Genomic DNA, 19,620 nt, shown 5'->3' on the forward strand with positions numbered 1-19,620 from the left:
AAGGGCCCCAGCACCAGGGAGCATGTCCCGAGCAGGTGAACACCATCTGCCCGGCTGACAAGATGCCCGTCTTAGTGCCTGCTGCTGCCAGCAGGCCGTGTGGACCTCGGGGAGGCGCAGCCAACCTCAACACCCTCTCTGGGATGATTCTTCAACTCTCAGCCAGGCTTTCTTCTCTCTCCCCAGGGGCCGCAGGCTCCGTCACTACCTAGCATTTTTCACAGGAGGAGAGCTCTTTTAAAAAACACCTGGTCACCTTCCATAGAGATTTCTAAAGGCATTGAGAGCATGGTTTTTCTACTGGGGGGTGGGCTGGGGGAAAATGCAGAGTTGGGTACACATAAGAAAAGAGAGCCCACGGACACACCTTCCCAGGGGTTAATTTTAAGAAGGGTTTTTAATTGAGCTACAAAGAGAAGAAAGTTTTCTACCCGCCTTTTAAAAAGCACTACCTGCATTAGCTAAACCATTCCCAACACACCCCAACCCACTTCCTCCCTCCCCCACCCTCACAGTTTTAATTGGGGTAAGTGGCTCCCTGATGCAATCTGCAAAGCACCAGCCCAGACCAGGGCAAGAGCAAGAGCTAAGTGGAATAGTGGGGCTGGGTGGGTGGGCCTAGAGAGTTCCAACTCTGTGCTTCCACTCACCACTATTTTACAGATTCAAGTACAGTATTTCCACTTGCTGGTCTTTTCAAACAACTGAAATACCTATACCACCTGTGAGGATGGGGGGAGAACCACCCCCGCTTTATGCAGTGAGGGAGCTGAGCTGACTCACTGGGAGCATGCAGATTGGCAGTGGTGAGCATGAATGCTTTTGGGTCTGGGTCTCCGTGTGGGGGCTGACATCACCTGGAAGGACCGCAGGTCCCCACCCACAATCTCTCTAGAACTCTTGGGCAATAAGAAATCTGTGGCTTGATGTCTTCCAAGCCACACATGCTTGGGTCTATTTCGCGGACCCTAATCGATGGCTGACTTCTTTAGCCTGCTGACCAGAGCCGATTCTTTGATGGGAAAACAAGGTGGGGGACACATCATGGGGAGAGAACTGGCCATCCCAGAAGGGGGCAGCAGAGGGAAGGTCTGGCGCTGGGCAGCCTCTGGGCTCAAGACGGAAATCCACCACCAGTGAAGACCAGGGTCCTCCCTGACTTAATGCACCAACTGCTGAGAACACCATAGGAAGGGCTGAGATGGAGTGTTCCCTGCTTCGGAACAGAAGCCAAGAAGGAGAGAGGCAGCAGTGTGGAGGGTCTGTCATGTCAAAGTGGGTCCAAGCCCTACTGGGCCCCCAGGCCCTGGGAAACTTTCCAGGCAAAGTGAAGACAATCACCCTGCCTGCCTGACTTGCAGGACCTGTCGTGAGGCTCCTCCAGGGACAATGGAGGTAAAAGAGCTTGAAAAACTATTAAAGGACCTACCCACAAGATGTCAAAATCGAGACAACCCTGCCTACCTCATGGGGCCCATTGAGAGCATGTGAGCCAGCCCCACAGCCCCCAAGGGTAAGACACCCATAGCTGCAGCATCACCACCGTCACTCGGAGGGGCGGCAGACTCAGGAGGGCAGCCTGACCACACTGAGCAGCAGCCCTCCTGTCCTACCCTGCACCCGTGCCGAGTCAGAGTCTCCAATTTCTAAGGTTTTTGGCTGGAGAATGAGCCAAACCATCATCACTATAAAAAAGCAAGGAGGTGGCATGTAGAAATAGTCCTTGTATGACTCTACCCAAAGCAAGCTCTGTGTTGTTCCCCGGAGCCACAGTTCTGGGGACTCCTTGACCATCTACAGCAGCCAAGGCCCCTGCCCAGCGCACTCACAGCTGGGGAGACTCTCAGATCCATCTAAGCCTAAACCCAAGACTGCCTCTCTCCAGCATCCACCGGCTGATTTGCCTCCACAGAAAAGGGGCTCCAGCACATAGCACCAGCTCTGAGCTCTGTAGTATTTCAAAAGAAAGTCTTGCTGGGGGCAAGTGGCCAAAGAGGGCTTCCCTTCTCAAGGAGGGTGCAGCTTGGGATGTGTGTTAAAGAATATGCAGTGGCCAGGCACAATGGCTCATGCCTGTAATCCCAGTGCTTTGGGAGGCGGGGGATCAGTGGAGGTCAGGAGTTTGAGGTTACAGTGAGATATGGATCGCACCACTGCACTCCAGCCTAGGTGACAGGGTGAGATACTCTCTCTTTAAAAAAAAAAAAAAGAGGCCGGACAAGGTGGCTCACACCTGTAATCCCAGCACTTTGGGAGGCTGAGGTGGGTGGATCACCTCAGGTCAGGAGTTCGAGACCAGCCTGGCCAACATGGTGAAACCTCGTCTCTATTAAAAATATAAATTAGCCGGGTGTGGTGGCGGGTGCCTGTAATCCCAGCTACTTGGGAGGCTGAGGCAGAAGAACTGCTTGAACCCGGGAGGCAGAGGTTGCAGTGAGCTGAAATCACGCCACTGCACTTAAAAAAAAAAAAATTTGCAGGATTACATAGAGGACCAGAGAACATGTCCTGTACACTCCTTCCTTCACAGCCTCTACTATGGGCCCAAAGGAAAGAGATGACCCCTCTCTGTATCCTTAAGGCTCCCACCCATTCTGATGTCACAAGTCCTGAGGCCAGTGTTCAGACAAGACCACCACAGCCATGTCAGGGGGCTACCAGGCCTCACAAGCTTGGGTCCCACCTGGGAGCCAGAGCCCACAGCACAGTGCCATACTGCAGCCTTTGGGTGTCTCTCCCCTCTGAGCTCCCCCTCCAGTGGGGGTTGATTGGTCCAGCTTCCTGGAAATGTCTCTTCCACTTTGAATCCACTTCAGAAAGGCAGGCCCAGGAGGGAGGCCAGGAGGGGGTGGGATGGGAAGGAACATCCTGTCTGCATCAGAGCAGGGGAGGTGGCCCTGAGCCTGCCCACGTGTGCCTGGAGCTTTTTTTTTTTTTTTTTTTTCCATTGAGCAGGAAGTGTTCATTCCACCGACAAACAAGCATCTGGGGTCGTGCTAGGGTTAGGGCGGTGGAGCCAGCTCTGATTTGTAGAAGTGAACAATCCAAGACAATGGGTGTACAACGGCAGAGAAATCAGCTCCAGATGCAGGCCAGAGACAGCTGCCCAGGGACCAATCGGGGTAATCAATCCTGTTGATATGTTTGTTCTCCAAAGAAGAACCTGGGGGAGGGGGCTGCAGCCTCTGCCTCGCCAGACAATGGAAGGCAGCTGGGAGCACAGTCTATAACCCTTCTTTCTGATACAGTCTAGGGCTCCTGCTTTCTCTTCTGTCTCAAGGCTTCCCTGCTCCTCAGCCAGGAACTAGGGGGGCTCACACCGAAGCTGTGTGCCTGTGCTTTTTTTTTTTTTTTTTTTTTTTTTTCTTTTTAAAGAGCTGGGGTCTCACTATGTTGCCGAGGCTGGGTTAAAACTCCTGGGCTCAAACAATCTTCCCACCTCAGCCTCCCGAGTAGCTATGCCTATGCTTTTTGACATCAACAGTCAAGTACTCTGGGGTCAATGCCTAAGGTCTTGCACAAAAGCACGGGGGCCTGGAGTGTTCCTGCCCTGCAGCCGTAGGCTGCCCATCACTTCTGTGCAGTGCTCGTAAGCAGATGCTACTCAGAGTCAAGATAGCTAAGCTTTCCCAAATATTAGGGCAGCTGGTAAGGAGGGAGACTAGGATTTTTACTTTTTTTTTTTTTGAGACAAGAGTCTCACTCTGTCGCCCAGGCTGGAGTGCAGTGGTGGGATCTCAGCTCACTGCAACCTCCGCCTCCCAGGTTCAAGCGATTCTCCTGCCTCAGTCTCCCAAGTAGCTGGGATTGCAGGTGCCCACCACACCTGGCTAATTTTTGTATTTTTAGTAGAGACGGGGTTTCACCATGTTATCCAGGCTGGTCTCAAAGTCCTGACATCAGGTGATCCACCCGCCTCGGCCTCCCAAAGTGCTGGGATTACAGGCATGAGCCACTGCTCCCAGCCAGATTTTCACTTTTCAGATCTATGAGGTATCAGAGTGGCTGAGATGGAAAATGGGAGCCAGCCAAGGGGGGCTTAGCCAAACAGTTACTAAGGAGCAGAGTTGGGGCCAGCACCCAAGGTAAAACGTAGACCCAGTCTCCAAGGGGAGACAGGATTACCTGATTGTCTGGCAGGGGTAGGGGAGGAAGACCACATACTGACAAGACACACCAAGGAAGTGTATGCGGGCACACATTCAAATAAGCAGTTCTGAGGACCTACCATGTAGCGCAAACTCCAGAGGGAAGCAAAAAGGGCGAAGGACTCCTCCACTTCACAGAGCTGTGAGATCCAGAAGAAGGGCACAGCAACCCTTTTATATCACACATGTCACCAAAGGCTGTGGCCTGCAGTTGTGCCTACACCTGGCTAGTGCAGTTTCACCAACATTGGTGGGGACAGCAAAAGCTCCCTACCTGGCACTCACAAAGCCTCAACATTTTCTTTAAAAAGATTTGTGAAATAGACTGTTAAATGGATGAGCAGTTAGTTGGGTCTGATACCTTGAACATGCTTCCCTAGACAAAGATTCTATGAACTTAAATATTTCCTTAGATCCTGCCTAAAAGGGACCTCAAAGGGCTCTTAAGGAAAAGAGTTGTTCTTTTTGTGGAACTGGTCTCACCAGAATTGGAGAGTGAGCTGCCTAGTTAAGACAGTGAGCACCCGGTCAACTGGCAGTGTCCCAGCAAAGGAGGTGAATGAGGAGGCTTCCAGTGTCCCCTCCCAGTATGAAGTCAAAGCCACCTGGGTACAGACGCTGGACAGGGAGGGGATACTTGTTGATCTGGCCAACCTTCCTTGATAAGCAGGAAAGGGGGAAGGGAGCTGAAAATCCTAAGAACAAAAGAACGGCAGAGCTTGTCACTCGGCCCTGATCATCCATGGCACCCTATCCAGCCATCTGTCACAGCATATAGAAATTCCCCGCGTGTGATTCTGTCTGCCTGGAGAGGCTGCTGGCTCTTATCCATCTCCCTATTCCCACTGAGCTTGGTGCCCAGGAGGCCCCCATAAACATTACTGAACAAAATGTTGAATCAAGGCTACTACCGGAGCCTCCCTGTACAGATCAAGCACTGTCTGTACCCATTCCTCAAGGCCAAGGCTCTCTGGGCCACATAACTCTCTCTCCTTAACTTGTGAGACAGCCTGCAGCTCATAACTGCACACAATAGCACAAGACCATGCCTGGTCTACCTCTGTTTCCAGCCGCCGCCTGTCCCTCCTCTCTTACATAGCTGCAAGTCCCTGGCAGTCAAGGAAAAGAAAGAACTCACCACACACCACTTGGTACTATGAGAAGCACACAGCAGATGGACTTGGTGTTTGGTACAGAAAGTAGAAAAGTCGGAGTTATAACATTTTTCATCTAGAGCAAGCAAAAAAAGAGATTCTTCAATGTTTAATAACTTCCAGTGCAAGTTAAAATGCAGTTAGAGTACCCATTTATCTATTGCTAGCCTCAGTATAAATTAAGACAACTTTTTTTTAATTTAAAAAAAAAAAAAAAAGGTCTTGCTCTATCGCCCAGGCTGGAGTACAGTAGTGTGATCTCTGTCTTTAATTTTTCTAAAGACAGGGTCTCTTGCTCTGTCACCCAGGCTGGGCTGCAGTTCCACAATCACAGCTCACTGCAGCCTCAAACCCCCAAGCTCAAGCAATCCTCCTGCCTCTGCCTCCTGAGTAGCTGAGACTACAGGCTCACGCTACTATGCCCAGCTGATTTTTTTTTCTTTGGTAGAGACAGGGTCGCGCCATATTGCCCAGATTGGTCTCGGACTCCTGGTCTCAAGGAATCCTCCTGCCTCAGCCTCCCAAAGTACTGGGATTACAGGCATGAGCCATTGCACCTGGCCAAGACAACCCTCCCGAAAATAATTTGGCAAAGGATTCAAGGGTTTTAGCAGGAGGGTCCTTATTTTCTGACCCAGTAATTGCACTTCTGGGAATTTATTCTAACTGGGCGCGGTGGCTCACGCCTGTAATCCCAGCACTTTGGGAGGCTGAGGCGGGAAGATCACAAGGTCAGAAGATCAAGACCATCCTGGCTAGCACACAGTGAAACCCCAACTCTATTAAAAATACAAAAAATCAGCTGGGTGTGGTGGCAGGCACCTGTGGTCCCAGCTCGGGAGGCTGAGGGAGGAGGATGGTATGAACTCGGGAAGTGGAGCTTGCAGTGAGCCAAGATCGCGCCACCGCACTCCAGCCTGGACGACAGAGCGAGACTCTGTCTCAAAAATAAATAAATAGGCCGGGCGCGGTGGCTCACGCCTGTAATCCCAGCACTTTGGGAGGCCGAGGCGGGTGGATCATGAGGTCAGGAGATCGAGACCATCCTGGCTAACAAGGTGAAACCCCGTCTCTACTAAAAATACAAAAAAAATTAGCCGGGCGCGGTGGCGGGCGCCTGTAGTCCCAGCTACTCGGGAGGCTGAGGCAGGAGAATGGCGTGAACCCGGGAAGCGGAGCTTGCAGTGAGCCGAGATTGCGCCACTGCAGTCCGCAGTCCCACCTGGGCGACAGAGCGAGACTCCGTCTCAAAAAAAAAAAATAAAATAAATAAATAAATAAATAAATAAATAAATAAATAAATAAATAAATAAAATAAAATAAAATAAAATAAAAATGTCTTAGTCTGTTCTTGCTACTATAAGAAAATACCTTCGCGTGGGTACTTTATAAATAATAGAAATGTATTGCTCACAGTTCCAGAGCTGGGGAAGTCTGAGATCAAGGCACTCGCAAATTTGGTGTCTGGTGAGGGCTTGAGCTCTGCTTCAAAAATGGCACCTTCTTGCTGCATCCTCACACGGCATCCCTTCAGCCTCTTTTAGGAGGGCACTCATTCCATTCATGACGATGGAGCCCTCATGACCTAATCACATTCCCCAAACGACCCACCTTTCACTACTATCACACTGAAAATTATGCTTCAACAATGTGAATTTTGGGGAGACTCAGTATTCAGATCACAGCAAAAATCATCCACAATGGAAGGCAAAGATGTTCACTGCAGTGTTATGTACAATGGCAGGGTGGAGAGATGGAGGACAGGAAGGAATCGCCAATTAAGGGAATGATTCAATAAAGCATATGAGGCCATTAAACTGTAATGATAATATACTATTTATCAAAAGAAAAAGCATCGGCCAACCGTGGTGACTCACACCTGTCATCTCAGCACTTTGGAGGCCAAGGCGGGCAGATCGCTTGAGCACAGGAGTTTGAGACCAGTCTGGGCAACACAGTGAAAACTTGTCTCTACAAAAAATACAAAAATGAGCCGGGTGTGGTGGCAGGCGCCTGTGATCCCAGCTACTGGGGAGGCTGAGGTGGGAGGATCACCTGAGCCCAAGAGGCAGAGGTTGCAGTGAGCAGAGGTTGCACCACTGCACTCCAGCCTGGGTGATAGAGCGAGACTCTCAAAAAAAAAAAATCATAATTTGATAAACATGTTTATCAAACAAAAAAGCATCAAACCACAAAAAAATGTGTAGACCTGGGCAGCCTTTTTTCCAAGTCTAGAAGTCACTCAGGATAATAGTAAATGTTTCCCTTTCACTTTCCAAAACGTGTCCAAAGTTGTCTACAAGAGATGGGGTGCTGTACTCAAGGAGGGAAGACAGTGAGGTCATGTCTCCATCCTCTGTGTTTTTGTTTGTTTTTGTTTTTTTAAGATGAAATCTTGTTCTTGTCACCCAGGCTGGAGTGCAATGGTGCGATTTTGGCTCACTGCAATCTCCACCTCCTGGGTTCGAGTGATTCTCCTGCCTCAGCCTCCTGAGTAGCTGGGATTACAGCTGCCTGCCACCACGCCTGGCTAATTTTTTTGTATTTTTAGTAGAGACAGGGTTTCACCATGTTGGCCAGACTGGTCTCGAACTCCTGACCTCAGGTGATCCACCTGCTTTGGCCTCCCAAATTGGTGGGATTAAAGGCGTGAGCCACTGCGCCCGGCCTCTCCATCCTCTTTCTATGCCATCTACCTCATCTCCAGGCTTGGGGTGGGAGCGAGGAGAGGTGGGTAAAGACTTTGAACCAAGGCAAATGAACATGGTTCCAGGTAGTGTTCACATGACACCTCCAAGGATGACATTTAACCAACAGGAACCTTCTGGGAGTATTTCAATACCCTCCAAAAAACCAAACCAGGCATGCAGGCTTTATATATGCAATGTGCATGTGCGTACAGAGAGCCATAATTTTCAATATAGAGATACAGCTATACCATTCCGTTCCCTAACAGCAGCAGTGGCCAACTTTCTACCCCAACCAGCCATCTGGGGCTCAAAGGGAAGGTGTCAGATTGATCACCAGGGTAGGATTAAGTTTTTTTTTTCTTCTTAAATCCCCTTAACTGAGAAAGCAGCTTGAGCCAATTCTGCTTTCCTCACAGACACCAAAACACCAAGCTATAGTTACACCAGTTCATCTTCACACCCCAGAGTTTGGGGGGCTGGGGGAGGATAAAGCTTTCCAAGCAGCTCTCTGCCGAGTCTCACCTCCTGGTGGAGGAGCTGGAGGCACAGGCTGTAAGGAACAGGACTGCCAGGAGAGGAATGTGTCCATAGCCTGCTCTCCCAGGTCCCCTTCAGATGCAGGAAGTGGCATCACCTCTCAGGAGCCTCTCCACATCCCCCACCCCAAGCCGGGAATCTTCCCCCTCCTCCCACTACAAAGATATTCCAGACTATTATATCACTGTACCAGCCTTACCTATGCCAGTTACAATATCCTTAAAACTTAGTGAGAGAGTAACAGGAGGGAAGGGGTCGTCCTTTCCCAGGATGTATCCGGCACCTTTCCCTGCTATGATTTCATCTATCCCCCGCAGCAACCCAGTGAATGGCAATTCCCATTCTATGGATGAGCGAATTGAGGCTTGGAAACACTGCAATTCTTTGGCCGAATCCTTAGTGTTCTAGGCTGTCCACACCACACCAGCTGCAGCAGACCACGCTCAATGGAGTAGAAGGGCAAAGAACCAACCAGCCCTGAGCACTGGGGACCTGCAGGTGCTTCTACATGTGTTCTTTCTAATCCTTCTAATAACCTAGAGAAGTGAGGAAGTATCCTTATCCGCAGCCTACAGATGAGAAAACTGAGGCTCAGCGAAGAGCTAACATCCTTCTCAAACAGCTTCTAAATGATGAGCCAGATAGACTTAAGAGCTAGGGCCCATGTCCCCTTGCACAGTGACGGTCACCTTCTCCCCACCCTCACCATTAAATGGAAAGCTCCTCTGACAATGTAGACGTGAATGGGAGTTGCAGAGTGACCCGCTCTGCAACTCCCATCCAGGTCTACACCTGGCACTATGTAGGTACATAAGACATCTGCCTGTGCTGGGGGAAGGACGGGAAGCAGAAACCCCTTTATAAGGGAAATTTCCAAACACAGAAGCAGCAGGAGCCTCAGGACTCAGCCTTACCCACTCAGTGTCACTTTCAGCCCCACAGGTGGGAAGGTCCTCAGCATCCCCTACCTCCACGCAAGCCAACTTTCTGTGCTCCTGCTTGTACCACACAGACCCTCCCTGAATTTGTTAATGATCAACCTTCCAGGCTGGCGCGAGCCTTCCAAGGGGACAATGACCACCTGCAGGAAAAATGGCCAGAGGCAGGTTCTGCATCAATTTATTAGGTTTAAAGAAAAAAAAAAGTCCTGAAGAAAAAGCAGCAGCTAAGACATGGTATTTCCAGAAAATTTGTATTATTCTTTTGTTGGCCTCTTCTCTTTGAAGGACGCAGGTGGCCTGGGAAGCATCTGAGGAATGAAGCAACCACAAAGACTAATGCTGGAGAAACTGGCTTCAAACTCACTGTCTAGACAGACTTCACGATTTTTCAAGATTTGACAGAAGGAAGGCTCCCTCAGTGTCCAGACCCCTCTGAAATGCACCAACAGGAGGCAGCTTGCCATCCATTCCTGTCCCAGGTACCTGCTTCATGCCAGGCTGGAGAGGGAGGTGAATCTTCAGAGGTGAATCAGAGGCCTCCCTGCCCTCTAGGGACTTCCAATCTAGCAGAAGAGTCAAATGCCAGTGACTTCCAGGGTGGAAAAGCACTGAACAAAAGTGAAAGGGAAGCCAGTTTCAGAGATGAGAAATGGGGTGACACTGGCCTTTTTCAAAAAAAGAAATGGACCACAGAGGGAAGACATCTGGCTTCAAAGAAGCCAAAGACAGGCAAAGGCAGATTATACCAAAAAGGTTTTTTTGTTTTGTTTTGTTTTTGAGACAGAGTCTTACTCTGTCTGGAGTGCAATGACGCGATCTTGGCTCTTTGCAACCTCCGCCTCCTGGGTTCAAGCAATTCTCCTCCCTCAGCCTCCCGAGTAGATGGGACTACAGGTGCCCGCCACCATGCTGGCTAATTTTTTTTGTATTTTTAGTAGATACAGGTTTTCACCGTGTTAGCAAGGATGGTCTTGATCTCCTGACCTCGTGATCCGCCCACCTCAGCCTCCCAAAGTGCTGGGATTACAATAGGTGTGAGCCACTGCTCGCCCACCAGAAAAGTTTTAAGTTAATGCCAGAGTCCTGAGAGGTGGGAAGGAGGTCAGGAAGTAGCTGCTGAACATCATCCAGGTGCTAGGAACTGGGGGCAGACACAGAGGCACAGGCCTTGACTTCAAGGAAACCAGGAGAAAGAGAAGGAGAGCAGATAAGCAGATAGCTTCAATCCACACACGGAAGCTTCTGGGGCTTTCTCGGAAACTGCAGCAACTAGAACAGTGCCTGGCATACGGTACGCATTCAACCAATGAATTTGTGGAATGAATGAACAAGAGTACAAAAAAAGGGTGTAGTTTATTCCGCTCTGGGAGGCAGGAAAGCTTTGCTGGGAAAATAACCTGGAGCTCAGTTGCAAGGGGAAGCTTGCCCCCTAGCAAGCAAAAGCAGCAAGGGGCATGTCAGGCAGAAGAAAATGCACAGGCAAAGGCACAGTGGCCTAAGGGAACATGGTATAGCCAAGAACTCCCAAGAAGCCCTTCTGTTCATGCTGGAGAGACAGAGGATGCTGTGACAAAGGCACTGACCCTGGAGAGACAGGAGATGCTGTGACAAAGGCGTTGACCCACAGGGCCTTGGGGGCCCAGCCAGGGAACTCGGGCTTCACCCTGAAGAACAGGAGAATGCCCTCAAGACTGCAGGCACTGGTGCAGCGTGGCCAGATGTGTTTCAGAGAGAGAACTCTGGCAGCAGGCTGTATTCATCTCAGTGCCCTCAGTTTCTGGATGAAGAAACTGTGGACTTGAGTGGGGCTGTCATTTGCCCGAGGTCAAGTGGCTGGGTGGTATCCATCCCTAGCTTCTGTCCCAGGGCTCCTTTTACCACACCCTGCTACCATCCCGAAAGCTCTCACTGCATTACCTCAATATTCCACAAACGCAACAAAGGCTCTTCTAGGTGAGTCTGCACAAACAAGTAGGGCAACTCTCAGGCCAGAGGCCTGGGAAGGCCTTAACCTGACTGCACTTCGGTTTTCTCCATGGAAAACTGGGAAATCGATATGAAACCTAGAGTTCCCGTGCAAGTCAAACGAAGAATGCACGCACAGCTTCAGCTCACTGACTTGCAGATGGTAAGCCCTCAAAGGACAACCGACTAGCATCACTCACGCAAACATACTGGAGTGTCTTCCATGTGCTATTCTGGAAATTAAGAGCAGAATGAGGAAAAGGGAGCTGAAGTCGACCAGGCTCAAGATAGAATGTCCCCCATGAGAAGGAGGTGGGGTCTCAGCCCACTGGCCTACAAAGTAAGGAGGTTCAGTGAGCATGAGTAGAGGCATGATGTTTTGAGTACTGCTTGATTGCCTGGAGATAAAAACTGAAAGCTGGTTGGAAGAAGGGCTGGAAAATAGGATGCACTCTGCTCAACCCTGCCCTTCCAAAGCTTCAGGACTGGAAAATGAATAGGTCTACCAGACCTCAAAGGCTGCAGGTGGGAAGTGGGAGGGGCACAGTGGTGGCCCCGCTTCCAGCCTTTCCATGTCATTTATGACACCACTGTACAAGAAGGATCTGGCTTCTCACAAGTCTCCACAATTTCTCTTGTCCCTTCCTGGCTGCTGGGACAGGCTGACCAGGCAGGAGAAAGGAAGACACAGAATCAGGCAGTAAACAGGGCTGACAAGGACTAAAGACACCTGTGGATTTGAGGCATCAGAGATTCATCGCAGCACTGCTGGTGAAGTTTTGTAGCACGGGGAAGCAGAGGCTTCAGTGGGTTGAGGTGCAGGAGAGGTGAACAGCCATGGCCAATAGCCACCAGCACAGACAATGGCTAGCCTTCTCTGATGTGTGCCCACCACACATCAGAACTTTTTGGGAGTTCTTGGGCCAGGAGGCAATCCCCTCCGGGATCTAGGATATAGCTCATTCTTACTGCCACATCTGATAATGCACCTGGCCACATAAACTCAAGATGACACCTATCAAATACCATGTGAAAATGCCCAAAGTCAAGCAGGAACATGGGATCTACATTATGTATGCTAAAGAGATGTAGGAAGCAAGATCCTCCCCTGCAGGAAGGACAAAAGAAAAGGAAAAAAAAAAAGGGAATACCCACTCTCTCCTCTCCAAGCAACAACTCACCTGTCTCCCTACCCCCCAACCCCGGCACCTCAACCAACCAACCTAGGTTCAAGCAAAACCATCCATCCACTTATGCGTCAGGTGTTAAGTCAGCTGGCATTACCAGGTGGCCTTTGAAAGTCCCAACACAGCACCCAACATAAAACAGGAACCCATACAATCACTGGTTGCCCTCAAACTGCCCCAGGCACTTACAGGGGGGCTGGGAATAAAAAGCCGTAATTGTCCCAGGACAAAACTGACAAATAATAACTCGTACTCCATGGGTTTCGTTCACTGAACTCTGACCTATGATTTTCAAGGGAACTCAGGAGGAGACTCCAAACTTCCAGAACAAAGACAAGGCAGAAGAACCTTTTTGAGTTATTTGGAACTTCCTGGGGTGAGGAGAGGTACAGGGCCCTTCAATCTCCCACTTCCCAGCTCACAGAACCAATGGACAGCCCTTAAGCAAGTCAATGAAGCTCCCAGAGCATTTGACTACTCTTCAGTGGGGAAAGAAAAAAAATTTAAGCCCCCAAATTCTGCTTCCAGGGCTTAATCAGTGTTGTAAAGGCCAGAAGATGCACAAGATAACAGATACTTTTACCATAAGTGGGGAGAAAAGTAAACTACTCCAGGAAACAGAGGCAAGATCTCTGCTCTCAGGCCTCTCGAATCCCAAGACCCCTCCAGCAGGTGGGGCTGGGAGTCAGGCCCTGGAAACCAGTTCCTCCAGCAGGGCAGGACGCCAGGCGTCCTGCTGGAAGGAGGCTCCCCATCTTCCTGGGAGGAGGTGTTGCTCCAGCCTCCTGTCCTGGCCTGCTCATCAGACCCTGTCCCAACAGGCAGGTAAGGACTGCTCTTGGCCTCACCTCACCACGCTATCTGCCTTCAGGCAAGTGAAGGAAGGGCCGAGAGAAGGCCAGCAGATGTGTGGGTGGATGCGGGTGCTTGGGGGCAAAGCTCAGCCTTGGATTGCAAAAGCCTGGATTCCAATGACAGCTGAATTCCCACCTATCTGGAGGTGGAAAGGACTGACCCAGAAGGAGCAGAGGAAGGCTCTGCCCCAGAGACTGTCTGACTCTAACCCAAAAGTGAGGCTGCAAAGACTGGGTTGTGGTAGAGGGAGATAGGAACTAGCAAAAAAGACGGTCTTCCTTTTTCAAGCTAGCACAGGCCCACCTGAGCAGGATGTACAAGCAGAATGCAGCAGGTATCCTATGTGTCCCCCCAGAGAAGATTAACTGAGTATCATTTATAGAATGCCAGCATCGCACTAAGTATTATCCTAAGCATTTTACAAGAATTATCTCATTTAATCCTCAAGCATCCTTGAAGAATGTGTTTTATCCCCATTTTATAGGTGCGGAATTAAGGAGCCCAGAGGTTAAGCGTGTTGCCTGCGTTCCTGAGGTTAGTGAGCAAGGAATGCTGGCATTTCAAACCCAGGTTTGTCAGGCTCCAACCAGCTCCTGGACAGGATCTTCTTCCAAAAGGAGAAAGCCTTCCGGCCACAGAAATCAGAAGTGGGGATGGACTCTTTCGACAGTCTTCAGGGCTGCAGACAAAGCCCCTTTACAACAAAATCCCTCTTGGCAATCAGAAAAGTCAGGCAAGGGGTTGGTCCCTTCCAGACAGTCCTTGGCACAGCCCCAGCATGAGGCTCGGCTTCTGTGCCATCGAGAAGCCGGCTGCATTCTCTGCAGCTCTTCCTGACGACAGTCCCCACCCCCACACCCCTACAGAACACTTCACTCAGTGACCCCATAGGCCAGAGCAGGATAAAGTACAGCAGCCCCTTAAGACTGACATCCATCCTGGGGACACTCCCTCGAAAGCCTGGAAGGCTGCAGATCTACCCTCCCACGCAGCAACCCATCACCAAGGCTGGAGAGGCCGAGGAGAGAAGGCCAGCCTGATTTACAGAATTTACCAAATGGGTCCGTTTTTCACCCCGTTCCAGTTCCTTTTGGGAAAACTCCAGGTTTTTAGGAGTAGATTAATGGCAGGGAGTTAATGGGGTGGTGATATATCCTGCTTGAAATTTTTTGAAAAGTTCTGCGTCAAGGCATCCAGTGGCCCCGCTGTGATTTAGTACGCTGGCCCCTGAGAACAGGCAGGTCCAATATGTCGGTAAATCTGCTAAACGAGGTGGTTTCTGGAGGGTGGTTTTCAAGATACACGGCCTGACATGTTGCCAAACTTCCCGGCTAGCTGAGCCCCAAATGTGAAGACAATGGGAGGGAGCCAGGCAGAAAGCCGCTCTGCTCTACCAAGAGGAGAAGGCACAGCCTGCAGCAGCCAGCACTGGGGAGCAGAGAGCTGGACCTATGTTCTCTGGCTTTCTGCTTTGGCGGGAGAATGGGGTCTAAGAATAAACAAACTAAGAGAGTAGAGCCAAAAGGGAACTTTGATATCATCTACTGCAGTTCCATTTTATAAACGGAAAAATGGAGCAGCCGAGCATCTGGGCCCAGGACCTCATCCCAGCACGAGTCACTCCAGCACTGAGCGCCCAGTGCCTTTCGGTATTGTAGCTCCATTTCTGCCCACTCCTCTAAATCCCAGCCAGACCCCACAGCCTAGCTGCCCCTTTCTCTGAGAACCATGTTAACCAACAAGATGATTTGTGAGCCTCTGATCTCACTAGGAAAAGGCAGGAACAGAATCTTACTTCTCTAGGCCCAAGCATCATGGGATTCACCAGCTCTTCTGGATCTACAGACGTGGCTGAATGAATGAAGACAGGAGTGGAAGGTGGGAAAAAGGTCAGACATGCCATACCAAAGCTTTCCAAGGGCCAAGGCTTTAAGATGCAATACATCCAATCACAATCAGCCCTCCCAAGATGAAATACTCCCTTATTTTGTAACTCCTGCTGATGTAAAATTCTGTATCAGATTACGACACCATCATTCCCCATTACCTTTGCTGGGGGATTCAATTATTGGATTAATTTATAATCTGCCTTCCTGGTTGTTTTTTTGCCTATTGCTCTCTTTATACTAAAATCACATGTAAGTAGAACTTAATCAAACAGTTCGAAAAGGATTTTGAATTTGTCTCGACTGCCGATGTCAATTCATTAGAGGCGCTACTGTTTTTCTCTGGTTTCCTCCACACTCCTCTCCTTATTTTGAAATCCCTAGAACCAAACCTCTTATCTGCGGACTTAACACAGTGGCAAAGATAATCAAAGGGAAAATCCTGCTTGACATCAGGGGATTGTACTCTCGGGTGGATTTCACAGGCAGCTCCCCCCCGCCACCCCCCACCCAGCAGCCTGTCACACCTTCATGTGATGGCTTAGTGAGCACCGGCCAGAGGCAGGCACAGGGGCCGAGGTATAGGAGCAGGTTCCTTTTAGCAGGGATGGCGGTGCTGATGGCAGCAGCAGCCGCAGCTCAAACTCTCAAATCTCCCTCCTGGAGCTCAGGGTAATCTGATGATCGCAGTGGGTAATTAGAGTCTCTTATCAAAACAATTAGCGGATGAATGAACAGCCAGTCCCATCTCTGACACAACTGCACAAGGCGCAGCAACAAGAGGGGGAGGCAGAAGCAGGGGAAATGACGAATTCCAGCCCCCACCGTCATGCCCATTCCGGGGGACACCGGAACTCCAGCCTCACCTCCAGCTTCTCCAGCATCTGCCCGGAATACCCTCCCGCATCCCTTCCTCTTTGCAGCCAGGTCAGCCTCCTTTTCCTTCCAAGCCTGGTTTGGTATCTCCTCCAACTCTGCAGATACCAGCTCCTCTGTGCAGAAAGGTCCTGCCAGTCAAGCTGCTTCTCTGCCCCAAGCTTATTCTATTTAGCCACCAGGCTGGGACACCCTGGGCAGGACTCAAAGCTCTTCCTTGACGCAGCTCCTGGCACTGGGAAAGGGCTCCATAAATGTTTGTGGCACACACACGCGAGCCAGGCCTGCCTTTCTCCCTCATGGCCGACCCCAGAGCATTCTGACTCTAATAACTGTTTCATGGGAATACCCAGGCCGTTCCACCCATTGCCCTTGTCTGCAATTTCATTAGCTAATGTTTAAAATTCAAAGCTCTTCCATCATTTCCGTGTCTCCCCATCTGTAAACAGGCCTGTGGGTCTGATACCATTTGTTTCCACCACTGAAAATACACAAGGATTAGCCAGAAAGCCCTGTGGAAACATAATCCTAAGTAGCGCAGGCCATAAGGCAGGAACAATTTACAAGAGCCCAGAGTTGGTCCTCCTGTTTGGTTTGTGGACCTAGGAAACGGGGCCAAGGAGAAGGTGGTGGTGGTGGTGGGTGGGGGGTGCCCAAGATGTTTCTGGGGATTTCAAGGACAGGCAACGCCAGGGCAGAGCCGGGCCTCCTGGTTTCTAAGCAGTAACTCAGGCACTTGGGATTAGGGGTGCCTCATCTTGGGCCCAGCCTCTCTAGGATCTTACCCCAGTGCCACACCCAAAAGTGACACATTCTGGGGTGCTCTGAGGGTGCAGAATGCCCTTCTCCCGCTTCCTAATGCTCAACAGGAAAGAGAGGGAAAAGGAAGGAAGGAAGGAAGGAAGGAAGGAAGGAAGGAAGGAAGGAAGGAAGGAAAACAACAACAAGAACAACAACAAAAAACCCCCCAAAAAAACAGGTAAGGGCCAAGGCAGAGTTCTCCATCTGCTTTTGTTTTCCATCACGTTCCTTTCAAGGCCTGGGATCTGCTAAGCCCCGGGAAAGCCATGGCATCATCTGTCCACTTCCCCCTCTGCAATCTGCCGCCCTGCCTGCTCCTGACAGCCATCAATCACTCTGTAATGTGCTGACCTCAAGGCTCAGGGGACAGAATTTTCAAGTCAAATGTAGCCGTTAACATAAATAAAGCATCGCCCTGGATTTCTTTCTTTCTTTCCCTTTCTCTCTCTCTTTTTTAATGATTCTGCAGCTGCTGCTGGGGACTCGGTAGGCAACAAAAGTGAGGGCAGACAGGCATAGTGGAAAGGCAATTCTACTTTTCTGAGTCATAACAATTATGACGTTATAATAAGAAACATTTTCTATGAATTTTTAAGTACGAGTTATCCTGTTCTGCAACTGTCCCCAGGGAAAAGGACAACAGATTCAACAGGACTGTGGGCTACACTCATCTGTCCAGAGCCAGGCAGACCCCTGGGTCCTGTCCCCTCCCCCATCCCAGGCACGCTCTAGCTGGGGCTCACTCTGCATCTTAAATAAAGCAGTTGTCCTTTAAGCACATTTACATGCAAACGACTTCCATATACCAAATATAGTTCCGTAAGCCAGCGTTTATTTTTAAACACGAAGAAGAGTCTCCCATAATAAAGCTCATGATAAATGTTATGATCCTCAAAATGGTTGATAGGGAAGAGGACGGGCGACTCTAGGGAGTGGGAGGGAGAATGAGGGCTTGTACCCTGGAGTCACTCCACAGCCGTCTTGACCTCGTACCCAGGCAGATCACATGCAGGGCGGCACTCCTCATCTCCCATCCTCTCTCCTTGCAAGCAACAGGGCCCGCAGCGAACAATGAGTCAGAGGCAAGGACCACATCGTCCAGTGTGTTCACAACAAGGAACACACGCACGACCCTGCCTGAGCGAGGTGTTCATGTGCTGAAATCAGGACTGCTGAGTCGCCAGCACGACCCACCTGAGGCAGGAGGCTGAGGTGACCAAAAGCTTCTGGTCAGAAGAACTACCTGGCAGGGCTCTGGTCCTGGCTCTACTGCTGATCTGCTGTGTGACCTTGGCCAAGTCACCACCCTCTCTGGGCCTCCAGGTCCTTGTCTACATACTTGCAGAGGCTAGCCCAGGCCTCACCATGTGTGACTGCCTCATCACACCAGCAATCCCAGCAGCTCTCGCTCAGGCTCCATGCTGCCTTGTCCACCAGAGTTTCTGAGTTCCTGAATCAGCCTAACAGTGTTTTGACATCTTCACTCACATCTTGAAAAACGCTGGGGTTCCTCCAGTTCCTTCTGGGAGAAGCAGCTACAGCCATGTTGCCAAGGCGCCTTTATAAAAAGCCATCACACAATGACAACCCCACAGACTGATTCCCTCTCCAGTGGCATCTCCCTTACCTGTAACCCAATACCTACCGGGACCTTAAAGAAGCTGAGAAGGGGCCACTACCCCAACCTTGGAAATGAAGCTCTGGCCACAGGCACTGCATCAGGAACGCACCAGGCCCTACTTCCTCCACATGACGGTGGAACGGGGAGCCAGTGCTTGCCTGTCCAGGAGGGCAGGGGCTGGCGTGTGCATTCTCCTCCTCTTCGTCTCTGGCTAGTGGGTTTTTGTGGGAAATGAGAAGGATGCCCCTGAAGGGTACCTAGATCCTGCCTGTTTTGCAAAGTTCCAAATAATATTCTAGAAACTCTGTATGGCTTTCTTGACTAGCCTCAAAACAGAGAAAAGAAATGCATCTCCTGGACTTCTGGAAGGAAGGGGGTTTGAGTCTATTCCCCTGCCCCCACCCAAACTCAGCTCATAGAAGAGGTGGATAGACCATCAAAGGCAGGGAGGGAGGCAAACAGCCTGTGACCCTGAGGATGAATGATATACTTTTTTTAAAGGGCTGTTCAAGGCAGACACATTAAGAAGGCTGCACATTTATCTTTCTGACATTTTAAAATATGCTGCAAAAAGCTGAATCTTAAATCAAGGTGCATTTTTAAAGGCATGTTAGATCAGGGACAAAACCTCTTCCTTTCTTCCTTCAAGGAGCATGCCTGCTGTGAAGCAAGGATTACTGCATGTGACAGTCCCAGCCTCCTGCACAATCAATACTGATTGTGTACTGGGAGGAGGCAGGATGGCCTGCCAGGCTGGGGCTTGCAACAACAAGAGGGCCCACTGTCAGGCCTCTGCCACCTGCCTGTGCTTGGTCCAGGGCCCCAGGCTACAGGGGAGGTGAGCAAGCCTCAAGGAGACTATAGGCTCTGCAAGGGTCACCAGAAAAGGACATTTTCCTGATCTAATTCAGGGATCTCCCTCCCCATCAACTGTTCCAAGTTACACAATCACAGGCAGG

General features: G+C 50.3%; 1 protein-coding gene across 17 annotated transcripts in view, besides 5 other annotated features; it reads right to left on the reverse strand.

The window, feature by feature from the left end:
• SSBP3 (single stranded DNA binding protein 3) overlaps window positions 1-19,620 on the reverse strand; it is a 188,059-nt gene that overhangs the window by 84,665 nt on the left and 83,774 nt on the right. The window lies entirely within an intron of this gene.
• Window positions 1,524-2,029: an enhancer, noted in NCBI's record as "H3K27ac-H3K4me1 hESC enhancer chr1:54777293-54777798 (GRCh37/hg19 assembly coordinates)". NCBI's record gives its function as "activates a minimal SCP1, AML or CMV promoter by ChIP-STARR-seq in primed H9 embryonic stem cells {active_cell/tissue: H9 hESC(primed)}" and the evidence as "EXISTENCE:reporter gene assay evidence [ECO:0000049][PMID:30033119]".
• Window positions 2,030-2,533: an enhancer, noted in NCBI's record as "H3K27ac-H3K4me1 hESC enhancer chr1:54777799-54778302 (GRCh37/hg19 assembly coordinates)". NCBI's record gives its function as "activates a minimal SCP1, AML or CMV promoter by ChIP-STARR-seq in primed H9 embryonic stem cells {active_cell/tissue: H9 hESC(primed)}" and the evidence as "EXISTENCE:reporter gene assay evidence [ECO:0000049][PMID:30033119]".
• Window positions 18,302-18,500: a silencer, noted in NCBI's record as "fragment chr1:54794071-54794269 (GRCh37/hg19 assembly coordinates)". NCBI's record gives its function as "represses an EF-1alpha promoter that drives an FKBP-Casp9 reporter gene in an ReSE screen in phorbol 12-myristate 13-acetate-treated (for megakaryocytic differentiation) K562 erythroleukemia cells {active_cell/tissue: K562(+PMA)}" and the evidence as "EXISTENCE:reporter gene assay evidence [ECO:0000049][PMID:32094911]".
• Window positions 18,302-18,970: a biological region, named in NCBI's record as "H3K27ac-H3K4me1 hESC enhancer GRCh37_chr1:54794077-54794739".
• Window positions 18,308-18,970: an enhancer, noted in NCBI's record as "H3K27ac-H3K4me1 hESC enhancer chr1:54794077-54794739 (GRCh37/hg19 assembly coordinates)". NCBI's record gives its function as "activates a minimal SCP1, AML or CMV promoter by ChIP-STARR-seq in naive H9 embryonic stem cells {active_cell/tissue: H9 hESC(naive)}" and the evidence as "EXISTENCE:reporter gene assay evidence [ECO:0000049][PMID:30033119]".

Source organism: Homo sapiens, chromosome 1, assembly GCF_000001405.40.
Source record: "Homo sapiens chromosome 1, GRCh38.p14 Primary Assembly".
Lineage (NCBI taxonomy): Eukaryota > Metazoa > Chordata > Mammalia > Primates > Hominidae > Homo > Homo sapiens.